The 18,984-nt window shown below is 48.2% G+C and overlaps 1 protein-coding gene and 1 long non-coding RNA gene across 10 annotated transcripts in view, besides 6 other annotated features; one reads left to right on the top strand and one right to left on the bottom strand.

Moving 5' to 3' along the window:
• Positions 1 to 18,984, top strand: part of AFAP1 (actin filament associated protein 1) — a 181,149-nt gene that overhangs the window by 125,011 nt on the left and 37,154 nt on the right. For all 9 annotated transcript variants that reach the window (NM_001371091.1, XM_006713909.4, XM_047416061.1 and 6 more), the window contains 2 exons: positions 5,088 to 5,237; positions 14,198 to 14,409. In NM_001371091.1, coding sequence (NP_001358020.1) covers positions 5,088 to 5,237; positions 14,198 to 14,409 — 362 coding nt within the window. The remainder of the gene's footprint in view (positions 1 to 5,087; positions 5,238 to 14,197; positions 14,410 to 18,984) is intronic.
• Positions 6,461 to 6,961: an enhancer, noted in NCBI's record as "H3K27ac hESC enhancer chr4:7809617-7810117 (GRCh37/hg19 assembly coordinates)". NCBI's record gives its function as "activates a minimal SCP1, AML or CMV promoter by ChIP-STARR-seq in primed H9 embryonic stem cells {active_cell/tissue: H9 hESC(primed)}" and the evidence as "EXISTENCE:reporter gene assay evidence [ECO:0000049][PMID:30033119]".
• On the bottom strand, positions 6,798 to 16,324 carry LOC124900656 (uncharacterized). The gene is made up of 2 exons (XR_007058010.1): positions 16,133 to 16,324; positions 6,798 to 7,204 (listed from the first exon to the last, which is right to left on the bottom strand). It is a non-coding gene; the product is annotated as an uncharacterized LOC124900656 (long non-coding RNA).
• Positions 7,970 to 8,678: an enhancer, noted in NCBI's record as "H3K27ac-H3K4me1 hESC enhancer chr4:7807900-7808608 (GRCh37/hg19 assembly coordinates)". NCBI's record gives its function as "activates a minimal SCP1, AML or CMV promoter by ChIP-STARR-seq in primed H9 embryonic stem cells {active_cell/tissue: H9 hESC(primed)}" and the evidence as "EXISTENCE:reporter gene assay evidence [ECO:0000049][PMID:30033119]".
• Positions 7,970 to 8,729: a biological region, named in NCBI's record as "Sharpr-MPRA regulatory region 8435".
• Positions 8,435 to 8,729: a silencer, noted in NCBI's record as "tiled region #8435; K562 Repressive non-DNase unmatched - State 21:Repr". NCBI's record gives its function as "represses a minimal TATA promoter and a strong SV40 promoter by Sharpr-MPRA in K562 cells {active_cell/tissue: K562}" and the evidence as "EXISTENCE:reporter gene assay evidence [ECO:0000049][PMID:27701403]".
• Positions 9,427 to 9,995: an enhancer, noted in NCBI's record as "H3K27ac-H3K4me1 hESC enhancer chr4:7806583-7807151 (GRCh37/hg19 assembly coordinates)". NCBI's record gives its function as "activates a minimal SCP1, AML or CMV promoter by ChIP-STARR-seq in primed H9 embryonic stem cells {active_cell/tissue: H9 hESC(primed)}" and the evidence as "EXISTENCE:reporter gene assay evidence [ECO:0000049][PMID:30033119]".
• Positions 9,996 to 10,565: an enhancer, noted in NCBI's record as "H3K27ac-H3K4me1 hESC enhancer chr4:7806013-7806582 (GRCh37/hg19 assembly coordinates)". NCBI's record gives its function as "activates a minimal SCP1, AML or CMV promoter by ChIP-STARR-seq in naive and primed H9 embryonic stem cells {active_cell/tissue: H9 hESC(naive and primed)}" and the evidence as "EXISTENCE:reporter gene assay evidence [ECO:0000049][PMID:30033119]".

Genomic DNA, 18,984 nt, shown 5'->3' with positions numbered 1-18,984 from the left:
AAACACTGACAGGCACAGAACCATCACCACAATCAAGACACGGAGCACGGCTCTAACCCCCCAGCCCCTGTGCTCTTTCTCCCCCGTCTGCCTCTGCCTCTACCCGAGGCCCTGGCAGCTGCTGATCTGTTTCTTATCCTTTACCAGAATGTCATAACGTGGAAGCATCTCGGTTGCAGACTTTTGAGTGTGGCTTCTTTCACTCAGCACGCTGCGTCGGAGAGTCGTCCGTGTTTGTGGCTAGTGTCACTAGTTGGTTCTTTGCTGCTGCTGGAGGCATTCCACTGTGTGGATGGACCGTAGTCAGCCCATTCACCTCTTGAAGAACATTTGAGCTGTTTCCACTTTGGAGCGACGGTTGAAAAATCTGTTCTGTGCATTCAGAGACAGGTTTTTGCGTGGACATATGTTTTCATTTCCCTCGGGTAAATACCTAGGAGTGGATTGCTTGGTCATAGGCTTCTCTCCAGCCTCAGTATTGTCACTTTTGTTTTGTTCTTTCTATTTGAGCCATTTTAATAGGGGTGTAGTGGTATGTGATTGTGTTTTAATTTGCATTTCCCTAATAACTAACAATGTTGAACATTTTTAAATATGTTTATGTGCCATCAGTATATCTTCTTTGGTGAAATGTCTCCAGATATTTTGCTCATATTTTTATTGGATTATTTGTGCTTATTGAGTTTTGAGAGTTCTTTGTCTTTTCTGAATACAAGTCCTTTATCAGATGTGTTTTGGATGTATAGTCTCCCAATCTGTGGCTGGACTTTTAATTTTCCTTAGCAGTATGTGGACGGAGGTGAAGGGCAGGACTTGTGGCTGTGGAGGGAGAGTTCCCACTGCAAAACCAGACAGCCTGTTTGCTCATTGAACCTGTGACCTTGGCTGCTCAGCTGAGTAATCCAACCACCCAAATCCACCTGCCCACTCCTGGAGGGAGCCAAGTGTTTCCTGTCTCTGTGGTGAAATCACCTTAAACCAAGTAGCAATCCAGCCCACTAAGAATCTTGGAGCTCAAAGAATCTGGACTGTTATGACATTACAGAGTTCACTCTCAGAGGTCACGATACCCACTTTTTTCATATGTGGTTTTCTAAGTCTGTCCTATCTGAGTGCAATTTTGGTTCTGTCCATCGGAAGTTATTCAGTGGAAAGTATTATCTGTGTCTTCCACAGGGCACACATTATGTGTAATCAAAACCAGGAAAGCTATCTTTAAGTTTTGCCCTGAAATAAAATAACATACAATCTCAATGTTCCTGCTTAGAAGTTGAGGCACAGCAGACGTTGGTTTGGTTGGTTCATTTTCTGGTTTGCTGTTTCTTCTCCCAGTGCATCTATTAGGTTCTACAGAATAATATGTGTGTCTGGATGCACTTGTAAGCAAATATATCTGTATTTAAAATTCTCCTGTTTCCTCTTAACAAGAACAACCTTCTATGCTTTGGAATTAAACGGTGGTGACCTTGGTTTACACATTTTCTTTTTGTCTGGCATGGTGCTTTGCATGTAGCAGACGCTCGTTAGTTACTGGAGAAAGTTAAGGTTGAAGTACATTCTAACCTTCTCTCTTAGCTTTTATCCTTGCCTCTCACTCTTGACCAGTTTGCACCTGAGAGATTTGAGTTAAGCTCCTTTTATCCCAGCCATGTGGTAACTCAGACACATTTCTCTGCGGGCTGCATAGAGAAAATCCTGAACTCATACAGCTTTTTCTTAGTGTTAGAATCTCAGATGAAGAAAGAGACAGTCCAGGCTCCATGCGGTCAAAGCCACAGGGAACGACTCTGGAACTCCTGTTTCTTCTCTCAAGGCGGAATCCCTCCTGTCTAATAAACCGACACAGTATGGTTGATCCTGCAGCAGGTGTGAGGAGTGTGGGCTGAGAAGGTCCTGGGACCTTCTGTTTGGGGGCTGTGAGGCTCCTCAGCCCCACTTCACATCTGTAAGATGTGATCATTTGTGAATGTGTCTGTTGGTAAAAGTCATTGAATAAATAGTCTGACAGTATTAATTTCTCATGCCCCTATTCCTCCCAGTAGCCTAAATAATAATACTAAAAAGCACCTGAATTCCCGTTTCCGTCGGTTACTGGGAAACTCTCTGGGTTTATGATACTCATGGTTTTAGAGAATGCCCGGCGTTAGTCTTGCTCCAGTGGCGTGCGCCAGTGCCTGCCCACCTCATGGGCCAGCGTGTGCCTGGATACTCCAGCTTTTCTACCCTCTAGCTGCAGGGGGCTGAGCGTTCTGAGTGTTGAGTTTTTCTTCCTGGTTCTGTGATCTGTGCTCATCTCTGCCTTTTGTTTGATACATAGCATCAAGTTGTTCTCGATGGTTTTCTCCTCATGTTCCCATATACTTGGATTTTTTCGCCCCAGGATTACCATATGTCTGCCTTTGTAAAAAACTGATCAGGGAGTATTCAAGGAATTCCAAGTTTTAATTATGATCTCATTTCTTTGCAGTCAGAGTCGAGCAAGCACTTTGTCGGTCAAGTTGGGCGTTCATCTGACACCCCAGCTCACCGCGATGAGCTGCATTTTCTGGGGGGGGCCACATTATCTGTGGGGGATACCTCTTGCTCCACCAGCCTTTCTGAGGGTGCCCCGGGCACTCGGGCTGTCCTGGCCAACAGGTTATTCTTTGTAAAGCTCACGGGAATGCGGCTGTGGTGAAACATCCTCCTCTGGGTCTTCAGAAACAGCTGGGAGGGGCCGTCCGCTGTTGCTGTCCCTCTTGGTTTGGTTGAAGTAACATTGAAGTGATACAGCTGTCCTAGCCGCCGCTCCCTGTCTGATGGTAGCTGGGAGGGGCTGTGCCTTCAGACTTAGGGATCGAAAGCCAGTCTCGGCGCTTTATTTTAAAAGAGGGTGTGTACGTGTTGGGAGAGTGGAAGGAGGGGTGGGGGTGGCATTCCTGGGTTCTTTGTTTCTAATATCACAGGAGGCCTAAGTCTGATTTGTTTAAAGTCACACAGAAATGCTGGGACTGTGTTGCGTTAGTCAGCTTGGGCTGCCATAACAGAATACCACAGACTGCGTGGCTGAAACAACATGCATTTAGACGGCCCTGGAGGCTGGAAGTCCAAGACCCGGGTGCCGCCAGGGTTGGTGTCTAGCGAGGGCTGTCTTCCTCCAAGGCGGCTCCCCTCCCGCGCCTTCACACGGCCTTTCTTCTGTGCCTGTGCCGTCTCTTCTTAGAAGGGCACTAACGCTATAGGACCAGGACCTAAGCGGGAGGGTGGAGTGTGGGAGGGCAAGGCCCGAGGCAGGAGACACCAGGGGTATGTTCTGCCGCCCTAGCGTGTTTGGCTGTGGTGGGGGCACCAGGGTGGAGGCAGAAAGAGGACCACTTCCCGCTCCCCAGCAGAGAGAGGCGGAGATTGGGAAGGATAAGGGGACTGCGTGTGAGTGTGTGCGTGTGCAGAGGAAGGGTTTAGGAGTTAGGCCAGGGCGCGTCGTCTTGTGTCCCTGGCCGCTCTTCCTCTGCAGTTCTTCCGTGGGATGTGTGTGGGTTCATTTGTTCCTGCGGTGGGGGTGGGAGGGAGTCCTTGACTCTCATCACCTTCTGAAGTGTCTGTGATCTCCGCAGCCAGCGGGTTGAGGGATTCATGCTGGAGATGAAGGGGAAAGGGTCGGGCGCTGGGGTTTGCCCACGACACTGAGAATCTCTCTGTCCCCTCAGCTCCAGTGAGCCCTGCAGTGCAGCTGTGTCCCGAGCGCCTCGCCGGCCTCCCCTCAGCTCCAGTGCTGGGCACATAACGGCCCTCAGGAGATGAGACGGGCAGACAGCTCACCTTCTCCGAGGGTCGCTCTCTGGCCCAAAGGATCTTGTCACTCGGTTCTGGTGCTGTCTCACACGCACGTTCTGATTTCTTGCCTGATCCCTGCCCCTGCAATTCCGCCGGAGGTCACGGACAGAGCCCTCGGCAGTGGAGAGAGGTGCCAGTGACGGGATGGGGCAGACATAGGATGCCAGCTGGCAGCTGACTCTGGGCCTCCATCGTGGGAGATGATGGGGAGTGATGAGAACCGCCCCGTGTTGTCCCTCACCGGCCCGTCTGCATGGAGACTGCTTCTGTGGTCCTGCCGCTGTTGCTTGCCCACATGCGGGTCCAGAGTTGCTAGACTTCCATCTTTCAAAGGAAGCCAGGCATCATTTTTATGCACAATGTGTATGAGTTCTATGTTTCAAAAATTAACTCCAATTTAACACTGTCCTGGCTAAACCGAATATGAGGGGCTGGAAGGCAGGCCCCTGGTCTGAGAGCTCTGCATAGGGCCGAGTCAGGTGTCTCACAGATGGCCGAGGGGCTCCTGAGGAAGAGTCAATTCCCCTTCCTTTCCTGGGCCTCCCCTTGCCAGCCAGGCCAGAGCTGCACTAGCTGCCTTCTGTTCCTCAGACACTTGGGGCTGCTTTCAGCCTCACAGCTTTTGCGTCAGTGATGTTTTTCTTACCTGGACGGTTTTCTCCCTGAGATGTGCATGGCTAATTATTAACTTAAGTCAACTCCTGGACAGGCTTTCTCTGACCGCCCGGCTGCTCTTCCACATAACCCTATCTTAGATCTCCATGTGGTCCTTGTTACAAGCTTCCTACCAGCAGCCCTGTGTTGTGCTGAAATCCCAGCATCTAGACCAACAGCCAGCACGTAGCAAGTGCTCATTAAGTAAAAGTTGAGGGAAAGGCCGGGCACGGTGGCTCACACCTGTAATCCCAGCACTTTGGGAGGCCAAGGTGGGTGGATCACTTGAGTCCAGGAGTTTGAGACCAGCCTGGGCAACATGGGGAAACCCCATTTCTACAAAAAGTACAAAAATTAACCAGGCCTACGTAGTGACACGCACCTGTGGTCCCAGCTACTCCGGAGGCCAAGGTGGGAGGATCAGTTGTGCCCAGGAGTTCAAGGCTGCATTGAGCTGTGATCACAACACTGCACTCCAGCCAGGGGACAGAGTGAGACCCTGTCTTTAATAAAAGAAAAAAATGCCAAGGGAAAGAAGAAATGGGTTTTGATGTATGTTTTTTTTTTCAATTAATATCTACAATTAAAACATGCTTTTTTGCTGTTGTTACTCTTGACAGTGAAGAGGAAGAAAAGTTCCAAATCAGAGGCCAAGGGCACTGTGTCGAAAGTCACTGGGAAAAAAATCACCAAGATCATCAGTCTGGGAAAGAAAAAGCCGTCCACAGACGAGCAGACCTCCTCAGCTGAGGAAGATGTTCCCACCTGCGGTAAGACTGCGCTTCCCGGAGACGAGCAGCGTGCACCTAAGTGGGTTTCATTTTCTCCTGCAGTGGTGTCGGTACCCAGTTCATCCAAGGCTCGTTAATTTGAGCTCTTTTGCATTGGACTTGGAATCATTCAGATAGTGGGAAATGTATTAAATGTTTACATTTTTGCCTCTTATTCATACAAGACTTTGCAGGCCTTTTAGATGATCTCTAAGGTTCTTTCAAGGAAAAAAAAAAATTTCCCTTTAATCCTCTGAAGTTCCCCCAAATCCCTTGGAAGTGTTTTTAAAGGACAACATACGCAGGGGCTGCTGGTAAAGAAAGGATTATGGGAAAACCTTTACAGAACTAAGGCCAGTTCTTTCCCTTGGGCAAAGTGATAAAACTAAGTGGGGTGGGGGGAGTGGGGAGGGATAGCATTAGGAGATATACCTAATGCTAAATGATGAGTTAATGGGTGCAGCACGCCAGCATGGCACATGTATACATATGTAACTAACCTGCGCATTGTGCACATGTACCCTAAAACTTAAAGTATAAAAAAAAAAAACAAAAACAAAACTAAGCTTCCTTATCACGTCACTGTTAGTCACTTTCCTGTTGCTGCCAAAGGAATGCCTGAGGCTGGGTAATTCATAAAGAGAGAGGTTTATCTGGCTTATGGTTCTGCAGGCTATACAAGTATGGTGCCAGCATCTGCGCAGCTTGTGATGAGGCCTCAGGAAGCTTTTACTCGTGGCAAGGGCAGAGGGGGAGCTGGTGTGTGTCACATGGCAGGAGAAAGAGGAGCAGGTGCCAGGGTCCTTTAAACCATCAGATCTCGCAGGAACCACAGGTGTGAGAACTCCCTCATTACTACAGGGAAGGCAGCAAGCCATTTATAAGAGATCTGCTCCCATGACCCAAGCACCTCCCACCAGGCCAGCCCCCCACACTGGGGATCACATTTCAACATGAGATTTGGAGGGGAGAAATATCCAAACTATACCAATGACCGAACCAATTTCTCAAACCGAAGTTTCAAATCCAGTCTAACACACAGACCATCTCCCCGGTCAGTCTTTCATCCAGTAAGTCATCTTTGAGCAGCTACCTTTTGGTCATCTTTGAGCAGCTACCTTTTGGTGACCACAACAGCCCTGGCCCCCCATGGCTTCCAGTCTGGTAGCAAAAGATAAGTACAAGCCCAGTTACCACAGAAACATGTATGTAATAATTGGCTCTGGTTGGCGATAGGAGGGAAAACCCAAGAGGCCGTGAGAGGATCATAGGAACCTCAGTGGGCCGGGGGGATCCAGCATTGTGGGGTGGTCTCCATGAAGACATGGGTGAGAGTTTCCATCCGGAATGCCTTCTAGGCAATCAAGTTCAGAAGAACCGTGCAGCTCTTCCTAGGAGGAAAACTTGATGAGCTACGTTTTCGAGAAATTATAGGAATGTGCTGTCATTTTCCTTGTGTACTATTGCGGCTCACTCAGCTCCCTGCAGTGTGAGCCCATCATTCCTTCTATTTGAATAGTCATTCTAGTTGCCCCCACCCCTTATTGAGCACCCGTTATATCCAAGGTGTTGGGTTTTATTTTGAGATGCCAAAAGATACCTCATTTAGTTCCTGCCCCACAGCGCCTAAATGGGGCTATACACACAAAGATAAATGTATTCAACAGATCTCACGTCCCAGCGGTGTGGGCTCATGCCACAAGGATAATACAGAGGATGGGCCATGGTGGTCAGGAGGAGGGATGGATTGCAGGGGCAGATGCGAGGACCCAGCAGGCACTATGGCGTGCACTGTCTTGAAGGGAGGACAGGCAAAGTCTCAGCTCCTCGGCAGCTTTCACAGTGTGATCTGGGAAGTTGCGTCATACTGACTTCTGGTGGACACAATGAAGTTGTCTGGGCAGACAGCAGTGAAGGCGTCATGTGGTTGAAGGAGTCTTGCAGAGGGGTCCTGTTGAAACAGCTGCCTGTGGGGTTGAGTTAGGAGGGAAGGCTATCACCATAAGGGTAACCGAGGAGCCTGGTGCGTTCCAAGCTCCCTGAACTTGGTCAAATGGCAGTTGAGTCACAGAAGCAGGCCAGTTGGTACTGATGTTTTTCCACTACCCTCCCTTCCCTCCCTAAATAAGGCTAGAGCTGAAAGGGCGGCCACCCTGCCGAAGTGCTGTCAGAGGAAACAGCTGTAGCACGGAATGGGGAGGGTGAATGTGTTGGTGCCCCAGTGCTGGGCCCGCTGACCTCTGCCTTTCTTGGAGCGCATGGAAGGTGGGACTGCCTCACATCAGCCCTTGAGAGTTATCGATTAACAATAGAAAGCGGGAATTAGGGATTCAATACAGGAGTTATGGATTAAAAACAGAAAGCAGGAATTAGCCAACAAGAAGGAAACTACTCTTTTGTTTTTGTTTTTTAATGCTCCAGGTCAGTGGAGGAAATAGAAATTCTTCCTTGAAAAACAATTAAACATTAATATGAAAGGCAATTGAGAGACTTTGGCCCAAACCCGTCCATTTACAAAGGAGAGCACTGAAGCTCAGAGAGCTTGTATGGCTTGCTCGGAGCCACACAGCGAGCTGAGAACAGAGACAGCCTCTGACCCAACTGTGCTGGTTCCCTGTCCCACAGGCCTTCCCCTTATCCCTTCCCCCGAAAGATCTGAACACTCCCGTGGCTCCTGATAAATAGCTGCATTTGTGCTGGTGACTAGACACTGCGGTAAACCCTCTTCTTGGGCACTTTCTTGGAAGCACAGTTGGTCGCTCAGGGAGCAGGAATACTGAATCCACAGCATCTAATTAGACACATGGATTCCTATCAAACTGCTTAGTGGACAGCTTTTGCCTCAATATTAACAGAACATCCTCTGTCCACAAGATTTTAAAGCTGTCATCTAATTCCTTGCAGGGGAAAGGGGAGAGGGGAGGGGCTTTTAGAAAAATAAAGGGGCAACAGTGACCATTTTCAGTTATTTTAGTACAGCTGCAAAGTTTCAGGCAGAAAAAAGGAGCTGGACAAAGGCCCTTGAGACTGAGCCTGCCAAGTTGAGTCTCCGCAGCTGCTGCTCTCTGTTCCAGGGAGATGAAGGGCCGAGCTGGACTGGCCGGAAGTGCAGTGCTGCTGAGCCCATAGGACAGAGCTCCCAGGAGCCACTGAAAGCGGAGTTCAAATGCCAGCCCTTCCACACAGTGCAGCTGGGTCAGCCGTTCCCCTAAATGCAGGACAGAGCTGCTGTGAGGGCCTTGTTTGTGGGGGCAGGGGAGGGAAGGCTCTCTGCAGGTGCTTGCCGGCTGGAAAGGTTTAGGGGGGTTTGGGCCAAAGTCTCTCAATTGCCTTTCATATTAATGTGGCGAGGATTGCAGCCTGGCTGGCCAGGTCCGCCCGCCTAACCCTGCAACGCCTATTGAGTGACGTTGACTGACGCATTTAGCATTGGGCAGGTCAGCTCAGCACACAGCCGCGTAGATAATATGATCTGAGACATGCGCAAAGGCCCCTGACCAAAATTTATCTCTTATTTGCCCTTCTCCTGGGCTTACAAGTCCTGGAATTATTGTCACCGTATGAATTAAGCCGTTGTTACCAGGAAATGCGTTTCCACCTTTTTCTCTCTTCCCCATCCCTATTTCCGCCTGTGGCTGGGACTGTGGCACCTTTTGACTGGCTCACCTCATTCTACTCTGCTTCCCCCTCCCCAGGCCACCAGATGGAAGTTTTGAAACGTTAGACTAACCGTATCACATTCTGCATTGAGAAAAACCAAAAGTGCCTCCTTTGTTGCCAGTTCAGGGCCTCTAACACTGCTGTCCCCGCTTCACTTTTCCGCCTTCTACATGACTGGCGTAAGAACAGGGGCTCATTGGCTCACTGCCTGTGTCCACAGCACCGTGCAGAGCTTGGCAGACGATACCAGCTCAGTAAATACTTGTTGAATGCCATGCATTCCTTTAAGCAAATTGCTTCACCTCTGGATGTCAGGCTCCTCCATCTAGGAAATGGCTCAATACTTCAATTCCTTTGTTTTCATAAAAACTGAGGATAAAATACATGAAACACTGAGCTCAGTGCCTAGCCCATCATTTATGCTCAGTACCTGGTCACTGTGATTATCCATGTATTCATCCGACATGTTTTTTAAAAACATCACCTAAGCATACCAGACCTATCCAAGGCACAGTAAATGCAACGTCAGACAAGTAAATCATGAGAAACGGAGAGACTGAGAGAAAGGAAAGGCCCCAGGGGGCAAGTCGGAGGCTTCATGGAGCCTGGGTAGCCATTCCCAGGGTCCCTTCCAGCTGAAATGTTCTGTCACTTTATGAAGCTCTTTCAATGGCAGGATTTTTTAGTAGATATTCAGGAAAGCTAGATACGTCTCATTTGGTATCATAATCCACCTCCACGAAAAGTAGACGAAGCCAGGCACTGTAGCATGCAGCTGGAATCCCCACGACTCGGGAGGCCAAGGGGAGAGGACCGCTTGATGCCAGGAGTTTAAGACCAGCCTCAGCAACATAGCAAGGCCCCACCTCAAAAAAAGAAATCAGATGCAGTCTGATGAAAGGGCAGGAAGGCATTCTTAGTCCAGGAGCCACCATGACAGGCTGTTAGTGTACCAGCTCCTCTGCCCCTGGCCTCGTCGAGGACACACTGCGAAGAGTGGGAAGGAGGCGTTTGGCTTCGGCAGGCCTGTGATCAGCTGCCAGCAGTTTCCTGACATTTGGTTTCTCCGAAAGCTGCTTCTTGATGCCCCTCTTGCAGGCCCCTCTCCTCCTAGCTGATCAGAAACAAATACTTGCTAAGATATAATGAACAGTTACATTGGGATAAAACGTCTCTCAAAAGTGTTGAACGTTTTGGCCACATGTAACCAAAGCACAGTAGCCTCTGGGGTGGGCAGGCACTATCATTTCCCTTCCTAAAGAGAATAAATACATGGAAACGTGGCCACTCTTCTAAAAGGCTCTGCCTGCCTGCTCTTCTGCAGCTGCCGGAATTCGAGAGCCACCCGGCACTGAGACCCGCGACGCCCCATATCCGGACCAGCTGACCGGGAGGGTTTATATCTGTTCCCCTCCATCTGTATTTTTTGTTTGTTTAATCTTCGAGCTGTAAAGTTAGTTTTCTATTTCTAGCATGATCCTCTTGCCACAGTGTTGTTGCAAGAAACTGCACTCTTTATTTTGAATTTGGAGCAGAAATTAGCAGAAAACATTAAACTCAGAAATTTTTAAAATTCAGTAACACCCTACCATAATATGATAAGTGAGATTCAAAAATAAAATCAGTTCTATCTGGACCTGCCTTGTTAAGTGGTTAAATCTTGAGACGCCCTGGGTGAGCCTTGAAGCTCCCGCCTGCAGTTCTTGATCCAGGAGCCAAGTTGGCCCCGTCCTGGCTGCACTCTGGCACCACCTGGTGGTGGATGTTGCTCCAGCGTAACCTTTCCTGGACATGACTTGGGGTCCGGGTCAGCACTGATTTCATCAGCCAGGCTAGAGGTGTCAGATTGGGAGAATATTGGGGGGTCCAGAGGACCCCCTGACTCTAGACTCCTTAGATGAGGTTGTCTGCCATTTCCTTCGTGGCCTCTTCATGTTCCCCAGCCAGAAAATAGGAACTTTGGGCCTCCCCATTTTGAGAAATGGTGGCAGGGGGCTGGATGGGGTAGGGGCAGTCGCTGAAAACAGACAGGTGACTGTGGATTTACCTGCTGTTGTGAACAGGTCTGTTATCCCAGGGGATTTTTTTGGGGGGAAAATTGGGGGTATTACGATAATTGCATATAAAATCATGTTCTAAATAAAATGTGGATCTGTCCAATATAATCATCCCTTTTACAGCTGAAATGTCAAGAAATTCATAGTATCTGGTGGCCTTGGCCAGATTCTGTCAGGGAAGAAGACACCATGAGAGTCCATGTCCCTTTTCGGGACCAGGTCCCCTGTGGTTGGGAATCGGGGCCAGGTCTCCTGTGGCTGGGGATCAGGACTGGACCCCCTGTGGTTGGGAATTGCCGCCCCACTGCAGAGTCCATGCCCTCTTGGGGACTGGGTCCTCTGTGGTTGGGGATCGGGGCCGGGTCCCCTGTGGTTGGGGATCAGGGCCGGTCCCCCTGTGGCTAGGAATTGCCCTCTTGGGGACTGGGTCCCCTGTGGTTTTGGGGATCGGGACTGGGTCCTCTGTGGTTGGGAACTGCTGCCCTGCTGCACTGTGTGGTCTCTGTCATTGAGGTCACTGGCATTTCAATTCTTGGTTTCTTCTGCTCCTTATCACGGCCTCGTGAAGGGTTGCCTGGGCCCTGACCACTCCAGAGCACGGGCTGTTTTCCTTGCCCTGTAGCTTACTGCTCCTTTTCAGAAGCCATTTTTGGGCATGTTATCTTAATGCACCTCAGTATGTGAAGTTATTTGAGGGGACTCCTTGCCTTCCTCTTCCTTTCAGATACACCATTACATTTGTCAACTCATGCTCAAAACATACTTAGGATTGATACAGTTGGCTGTCATTGTATGGAAGTCTAAAAATGTAAAAGTGTCGGCTTTCAGCATGAGTGGTTACTCTAGATGGTGTCAGAGCCATGGCGAGCACGTGGTTCCCAGCGCTGTTACTCGGGTGCTCAGATATGATAGTTGATTCTCTTTTTAAGTAGAGGTTTCTTTTTTCTTTTTAAAGACTAAATGTATTGGCCTATAATTCCAGCACTTTGGGAGGCCGAGGCGGGTGGATCACAAGGTCAGGAGATCGAGACCTTCCTGGCTAACACAGTGAAACCCCTTCTCTACTAAAAATACAAAAAATTAGCCAGGTGTGGTGGCGGGCGCCTGTAGTCCCAGCTGCTTGGGAGGCTGAGGCGGGAGAATGGCGTGAACCCGGGAGGCAGAGCTTGCAGTGAGCTGAGATCACGCCACTGCACTCCAGCCTGCCAGCCTGGGCTACAGAGCAAGACTCCTGTCTCAAAAAAAAAAAAAAAAAAAGAATAAATGTATTGGAACTACATCATTTACAAATAGCATTTTGCAGAACAAAAATAGTAATGTAAGGCCCCAGTTGTATTCATATTAACAGCTCTTTATCTGCCGTCTTTAACTCCCAACAGGGGTTCAGGTCTTGCTTTGCTGTGTGGTCTTGGACAAGATACTTCACATTATCTGGGAGTTAACGTCCTCCTTCAAGAAGTAAAGCCTCTGAGACTCTTTCCTACTTTAATTCTAGGGCCTCTTCACCTCCCTGCAGCCCTCCTAAGTGTCTGAAATACAAGGAGCTTGGATCGAGTGTAGTTTGCTCTCTGAACACAAGAGGGCGGCCACGGCACAGGCCTTGGAGCCTCAGCCTGGCTCCTCCTTTCTCTGTCACTCCCTAACAACATCAGCCCACACCCCAGATGAAAGTTTTAGTTCCAGAAGAAGCAGTGTGCATTTCTCTTCAGTGTGTGTTGGTAGAAATGACATCATATTCAGCCAATGAAAATTTAGACTTTATAAGTGTGTACCTAGTAAGTCACTGAACCAATAGTTATAAGTAATAAAGCATCATTCTGGGTCCTGAACATACCTCTCTTTTTTTGTCTTTATAGCATTTATCAATTGCTAATAAGGTGTGTAAGATTGAGAACATAAAAGCAGTAAGAAACATCCTCCAAAACCCTTTTGGAAAGGCATTTTAATTGATTAGTTTTTTTTTTTTTTTTTTTTTTTTTTTTGTGATAGGGTCTCACTGTGTTGCTCAGGCTGATCTTGAACTCCTAACCTCAGGTGACCTTCCTGCCCCGGCCTCCCAAGTAGCTGGGACTACTATTGGCTGGAAAAGGAATCTGAAAAATCAGAATTGGAAAGGATGTATTTTGTTTTGTTTCTTAACATTTTTGAGGTAGGGGTATGTGTGACATTTTTGAGGCAGGGGTATGTGTGTGTGTGCATGTGTGAATTGAAGGAGTAGCTGAACTTGAGTTAGGAATCTGGTACTTCCTTTTCTGCCACTATCAACATTTTCTATGCTATTTATCTCGCTTTCTAAATCTTAAAGGAAGGGGGCAGTAATTTACTAGCATTATGGTGTGGTTGGAAGGTACAGCCACCCTGGTATCTATTTTTTCATGTCTTGTTATTTCTAGAAGAATTCATTTTATGTTTGTAACAAGTGAAAAGTGTCCATTTCCTGTATTTGAGGAGGTTTTTTTTTTTAAATGAGGATAATAATTTTTCCTGTCATTCTACCACTCCTCTATCTGTGATATACTGAAGATGTTGTGCCATACCAGAGACACGGATCACAAACTTTCATGAAGATTCAGACTTTAGAGTTTAGATTTCCTCCGGGCAGCTTCACCCGTCGCTTTGCAGTTTGAGGAGCAGGAAGGCGGCAGGTGCGTCCTCAGCCTCAGGTGGGAACCTGCACTCAGGGCCTCTGCCATCTGCGGGCTGCTTCCAGCGCTGGGGATCTTAGTGCCTCCCAGGGCCTCCTATTTCTTGGAAAGTTTTCATTTTTAGATAGTTTTTGTTTCTTCATGTTAAGCCAAAATCTGCCTGCCTGTGACTCTTACTCTACTTGTATCATTTGCAGCTCCTCAAAATAAGTGAAATCGGTTTCCAGTTTGAAGGCAGCTGTCGTGCCCCCATCCTGGCCATCCGAAACCTGATGGCTTGCTAACTTCTCACGTGCTTTAGGTGAATTCCATAGTCCCACATCAACACCAGGCATCTGGTAACTGGTTCGTTGCACATGTTAAATGAGGGGCTTCCAGATACGGCCTGTGTGGTGTCATGAAAAGCCCCCAAAACTTGTGATGCCGTAGCCACGGCTCTCCTAGTTTATGCGAATTTGCATTTAAAGCTTGATCGATCGTGTGAAGGATTTGTTTTATCCACACTCCCATCCCTGGGCCTCCTCAGTGTGACCCTAGACGTCTTCACCTCGCCTGGTCTTGTCCGAGGCGGCTGACCTGTGGCCTTGTGTCTCCGCAGGCTATCTGAACGTGCTCTCCAACAGCCGCTGGCGAGAGCGCTGGTGCCGAGTGAAAGATAACAAGCTCATTTTCCACAAGGACAGGACCGACCTGAAGACCCATATTGTGTCTATTCCGCTCCGTGGCTGCGAGGTGATCCCGGGTTTGGATTCTAAACATCCTCTGACGTTCCGGCTGCTGCGCAACGGCCAGGAGGTTGCAGTATTGGAGGTAGGATATTTCCCAGGGGCTGTACTCCACAGAGGGACACACGCGGTGATCTTCCTTTCAAAAGGCGAATGCTGACTCCTCTATCAAAATTCCTCCCATCTCGCTGACAGTACCTCTTTTGGGCCCACCCTCTTTTCTCTCACTGCCCAGTCCATGAGTCTTTGCTTTACTTCTTGCCTCAGTTTTTTTTCTGGGAGATACGACAATGACGGCACCCCAGCACCACTTTCTACCCATTTGTACACATCAGATTGACTTGCCTCCTTGTCTGAGTTCCTCTTTATGCCTGGTTGCAGGGAAATTAAATACACAATCCCATAGAGTACATTGCTTTTCTAAAGCACCTGGAAAATAACTTGTTTTAAAATTTCCAGGAAAGCTCTTTCCCCCAGGAGCTCTTTGAAATGGTGGTAAATGTTTCCTTTGGAATGTTCTGGACTTCTTTACAGATGGAAGACTTTTTGGGGCCATCTGAATGCCTTATAGACGGCGGCCAGTGAGCCACATGACACAGACACTGAAAGAGCGCCTTTGCTGTTTCGGAGCCCTGGGCTTGGTGCACGCTTTGTTATTTATTTGGCTGCTTCACTAGAATTTCTTACTCATGAAAGCAGAAAAGACAGTTAAAACTCATAGCTACATACTCAAAACTTTCATTATTGAAAGTTTTTAATTTTTCATCATAGAAAACATTCTGTTGATGTTTTCTACCCAGTTTTAGACCTTTTTTTCCTGTGATTTTTCCCTTTATTTCTGAGTCTTTTCCCCCACTTAGTGTTATTATGACCAAGATGCAAACATACACACACAGACAGATCTGTGCATTCACACGCCAGATGGTCGCATCCATGTCACGCACCTTGTGCTGTAGAATCGATAGAAACCAGTTCATGTGAGGCGTGCTGGGTGGCCGGTGTGTGGCAGAAACTCACCTGGTGTGGGAGCCGGCTCTACATGCGTGCACAGTGACACTCATCGGCAGAGGAGAGAGTGCCTGGGGCTGCGACCTAAGCCACGGCTGCCCAGTCAGGCAGTCTTTCTGAAGATCTTGAATTTCATACATAGGAGTTCATTGCAGGGACTGTTTTCATAGAGGCTGCTTTTTTTTTTGGTGGGGATGAAAAATAGATGAACACTGTCTTTTTCCTGCAGGGCTCAGGACGTAAGGGAAGGTCAGAAGCACGCATTGCTGCCCCCGTGGCTGGTTTTGCAGCAGTGTGATCTAACAGAGAGGGCTGGGCTCAGATGGGCTTGGGACAGCTGGGTTCCAGTCTCAGCTCTGTGCAGACCCTGACCACGGCCAAAGCTTTTGTTCTCTCTCAGCTTCTTTACCCACCGTAAAACACGAATGCTGAGCTAGAGTCAGTGTACCTTGTAAACATTTATGTAGGCTGAAAACTGGAGGGTGGATGGCGGTGGAAAAAAGCTGAAAACTTAAATAAAGAAACTGTACTCTTGATGTAACAATGCGGGTCTCCCATGAGAGCTCTGACAGCAGATCTGAGAAGGGTTGCAAGGAGAAGGAGGCATGAATTGGCACGGGTAAGATACAGGAATGAAGAGGGAGATGCTGGGCAAGTGCCCAGACAGAGAAGCTCGGGGTGCGGTGGGGGTGGGTGGAAGTCAGGAGCTGTTTGGTGAAGAAGTCACCTGCCCTGCCATTGCTGGGGGCACAGTAGCTGTGTGCCCCGAGTCCTGGAGAGAAAGTGGTAGCATTTCATACCTTCACAAACGCTTGGACCACTGAGGAAGGTGCTTATTCCTTGAGAGAGCTGAAGTGAGTAGACGCAGTTTCCTGAATGACACGACAGCAAGAATTGGAAATTTACCCAGTATCACTTCGTGTACAACTATTTTTACAGCTGAAAAGTGACTTCACTTACAAGTGACACATAAACATCTACAGCCTTCCAATGTAAGCAAGAAGCCTGACCTCATCAGTGGTGAAATGCCGTGAGCCAGCCAATAGAGTTGCAATGCCGTGAGCCAGCCAATAGGGTTGCAATGCTGTGAGCCAGCCAATAGAGTTGCAGTGCTGTGAGCCAGCCAATAGGGTTGCAGTGCCGTGAGCCAGCCAATAGAGTTGCAGTGCTGTGAGCCAGCCAATAGAGTTGCAATGCCGTGAGCCAGCCAATAGGGTTGCAATGCCGTGAGCCAGCCAGTAGAGTTGCAGTGCCGTGAGCCAGCCAATAGAGTTGCAGTGCCGTGAGCCAGCCAATAGAGTTGCAGTGCCGTGAGCCAGCCAATAGAGTTGCAGTGCCGTGAGCCAGCCAGTAGAGTTGCAGTGCCGTGAGCCAGCCAATAGAGTTGCAGTGCTGTGAGCCAGCCAATAGAGTTGCAATGCCGTGAGCCAGCCAATAGAGTTGCAATCTATACTTTTTCCAAGATCCTTTTATTTTAACTTTTGTTTTGAGATAATTTCAGAGTTACCGAAAAGTTGCAAGGATAGCACGAAGGATGCCTGTGCGCCCTTCACCCATATCCACCAAAGACCAACATTCCGCATGCTTGCTGTCTCTTGCACAGCCCTGCGTGTGTACTCTCCCCCGTGCCCCTTTCTCTCTACGTCTGTATGTCTTTGTGTAGGATTTTTTTCAGAACCTTTTGCAGGTATGTTGTGCTTTTATCCCTAAATACTTTGATGTATATTTGCTGAAAACACCTTACCAGAACCACAGTGTAATATGATCACAGTCAGGAAACTACCATGCATACAGCATGCTGGTCTGAGTCCTAGATCTTCGTCAGGTTTTTCTAGTTATTCCTATCATGTCCTTCAGGAGCTCAAGGAAACCCCAGCCTGTGTGTTGTAGTCCGCTGCCGCGTCTCTTTAGCCTGCTCCCTCTGCCTCGACAACATCATTGACACTTAGGAAGGAGACTGCTTTTCTGTAGAAGGCTCCCAGGTTTGGGCGCGTCTGCTGTTACCTCTCCTTGGGATCCAGCAGAGAATTATAGCGGGAGCCCATGGAGGTGGCGGCATGTTTCATGCTGCGTTACATCAGGAGGCCCACAGCGTCTGTGTGTCTCACTGCTCATGATGTTAATTTTGATCCCTTGGGTAAGGTTTCCCCACTGTAAATTGACTGCATTTTTCCCCTCTAAGTCTCATGTGGGAAGATGCTTTGAAACTATGTAACTATCCTATTATTACTCACAATTTCACCCACTGGTTCCAGCATCCATTAATGACTCTTTGCCTGTAACAATCATAATGACAGTTTCTAAATGGTGACGTTCTAATTCCGTTATTCCTTCTACATTTATTAGCTAGCATCGACTGCGAGACCATTTTCCTTTATTCCCATTTAATTATTCGTTTGTTTATATATGTATGTATATCAGTGGGAATTCATAGATTATTATTATTAATTATTATTTTTGAGACAAGGTCTCACTCTGTCATCCAGGCTGGAGTGCAGTGGCGCAATCTCGGCTTACTGTAACCTCCACGTCCCAGGTTCAAGCGATTCTCCTGCCTCAGCCTCCCGAGCAGCTGGGATTACAGGTGTGCCACCACACCTGGCTAATTTTTTTTACTTTTTAGTAGAGACGGGGTTTCACCATGTTAGCCAGGCTGGTCTCAAACTCCTGACTTCAAGTGAACTGCCCGCCTTGGTCTCCCAAAGTGCTGAGATTACAGGCATGAGCCACCGTGCCCAACCCATAGTTTTTTTTTGTTTTTTTTTTTTTGAGACAAGTCTCACTCTGTTGCCCAGGCTGGAGTGCAGTGGTGTGATCTCAGCTCACTGCAAGCTCCGTCTCCCGGGTTCACGCCATTCTCCTGCTTCAGCCTCCTGAGTAGCTGGGATTACAGGTGCCCGCCACCATGCCTGGCTAATTTTTTTTTATTTTTTAGTAGAGACAGGGTTTCACCGTGTTAGCCAGGATGGTCTCGATCTCCTGACCTCATGATCCGCCCGCCTCGGCCTCCCAAAGTGCTGGGATTACAGGCGTGAGCCACTGCGCCTGGCCCAGCCTATAGATTTTTAATCAGTGATTATATCCTTTACTGTCGTGACTTATTTTGGTCAAACTATCACAGATTTGGTCAGCAGGAGGCCCTCGGAGCTGGCTGTTTGTCCTTTGCCATGTCCCTGTAATAAAGAGATTATATAGTCCATCATGCTTGGAGCACTTTCCTTACTTTGTGGCACAAGGAGATGCCCCAGGCTCATCCTGTACTTTTCCCTGCTCCAGACCTGGAGTCAGCCGTTCCCCAAAAGCATGTGATTCCTTTTAGTGGAGAATGGCGGAGAGTTGAGAAGCCAGGATCTGGGGGCCAGATGTGCTCACTTCTGCCGGCGGGCCAGAGCTCCTGGGTCTTTTCAGTAGACAAACGCTAGAAACAGATGTGTGGATGTGGATACATACACACACATTCACACGTTTATATGTTATACATATGACAGATACTTACAAGTGTATATATACACGTACATGCATACATACATATATGCACCCACACACGTCTCTATGTCTATACCTATCTATGTATTAAAAGCTGTGAGAACTAATACCTCCAACACCACAGTATTATTTTTTAAAAGCCTCTGAGGACATTTCATACAATGAA

Source organism: Homo sapiens, chromosome 4 (assembly GCF_000001405.40).
Source record: "Homo sapiens chromosome 4, GRCh38.p14 Primary Assembly".
NCBI classification, from domain to species: domain Eukaryota; kingdom Metazoa; phylum Chordata; class Mammalia; order Primates; family Hominidae; genus Homo; species Homo sapiens.
The sequence above is the reverse complement of the archived record's forward strand: the minus strand, read 5'-3'. Positions and strand labels throughout refer to the sequence as shown.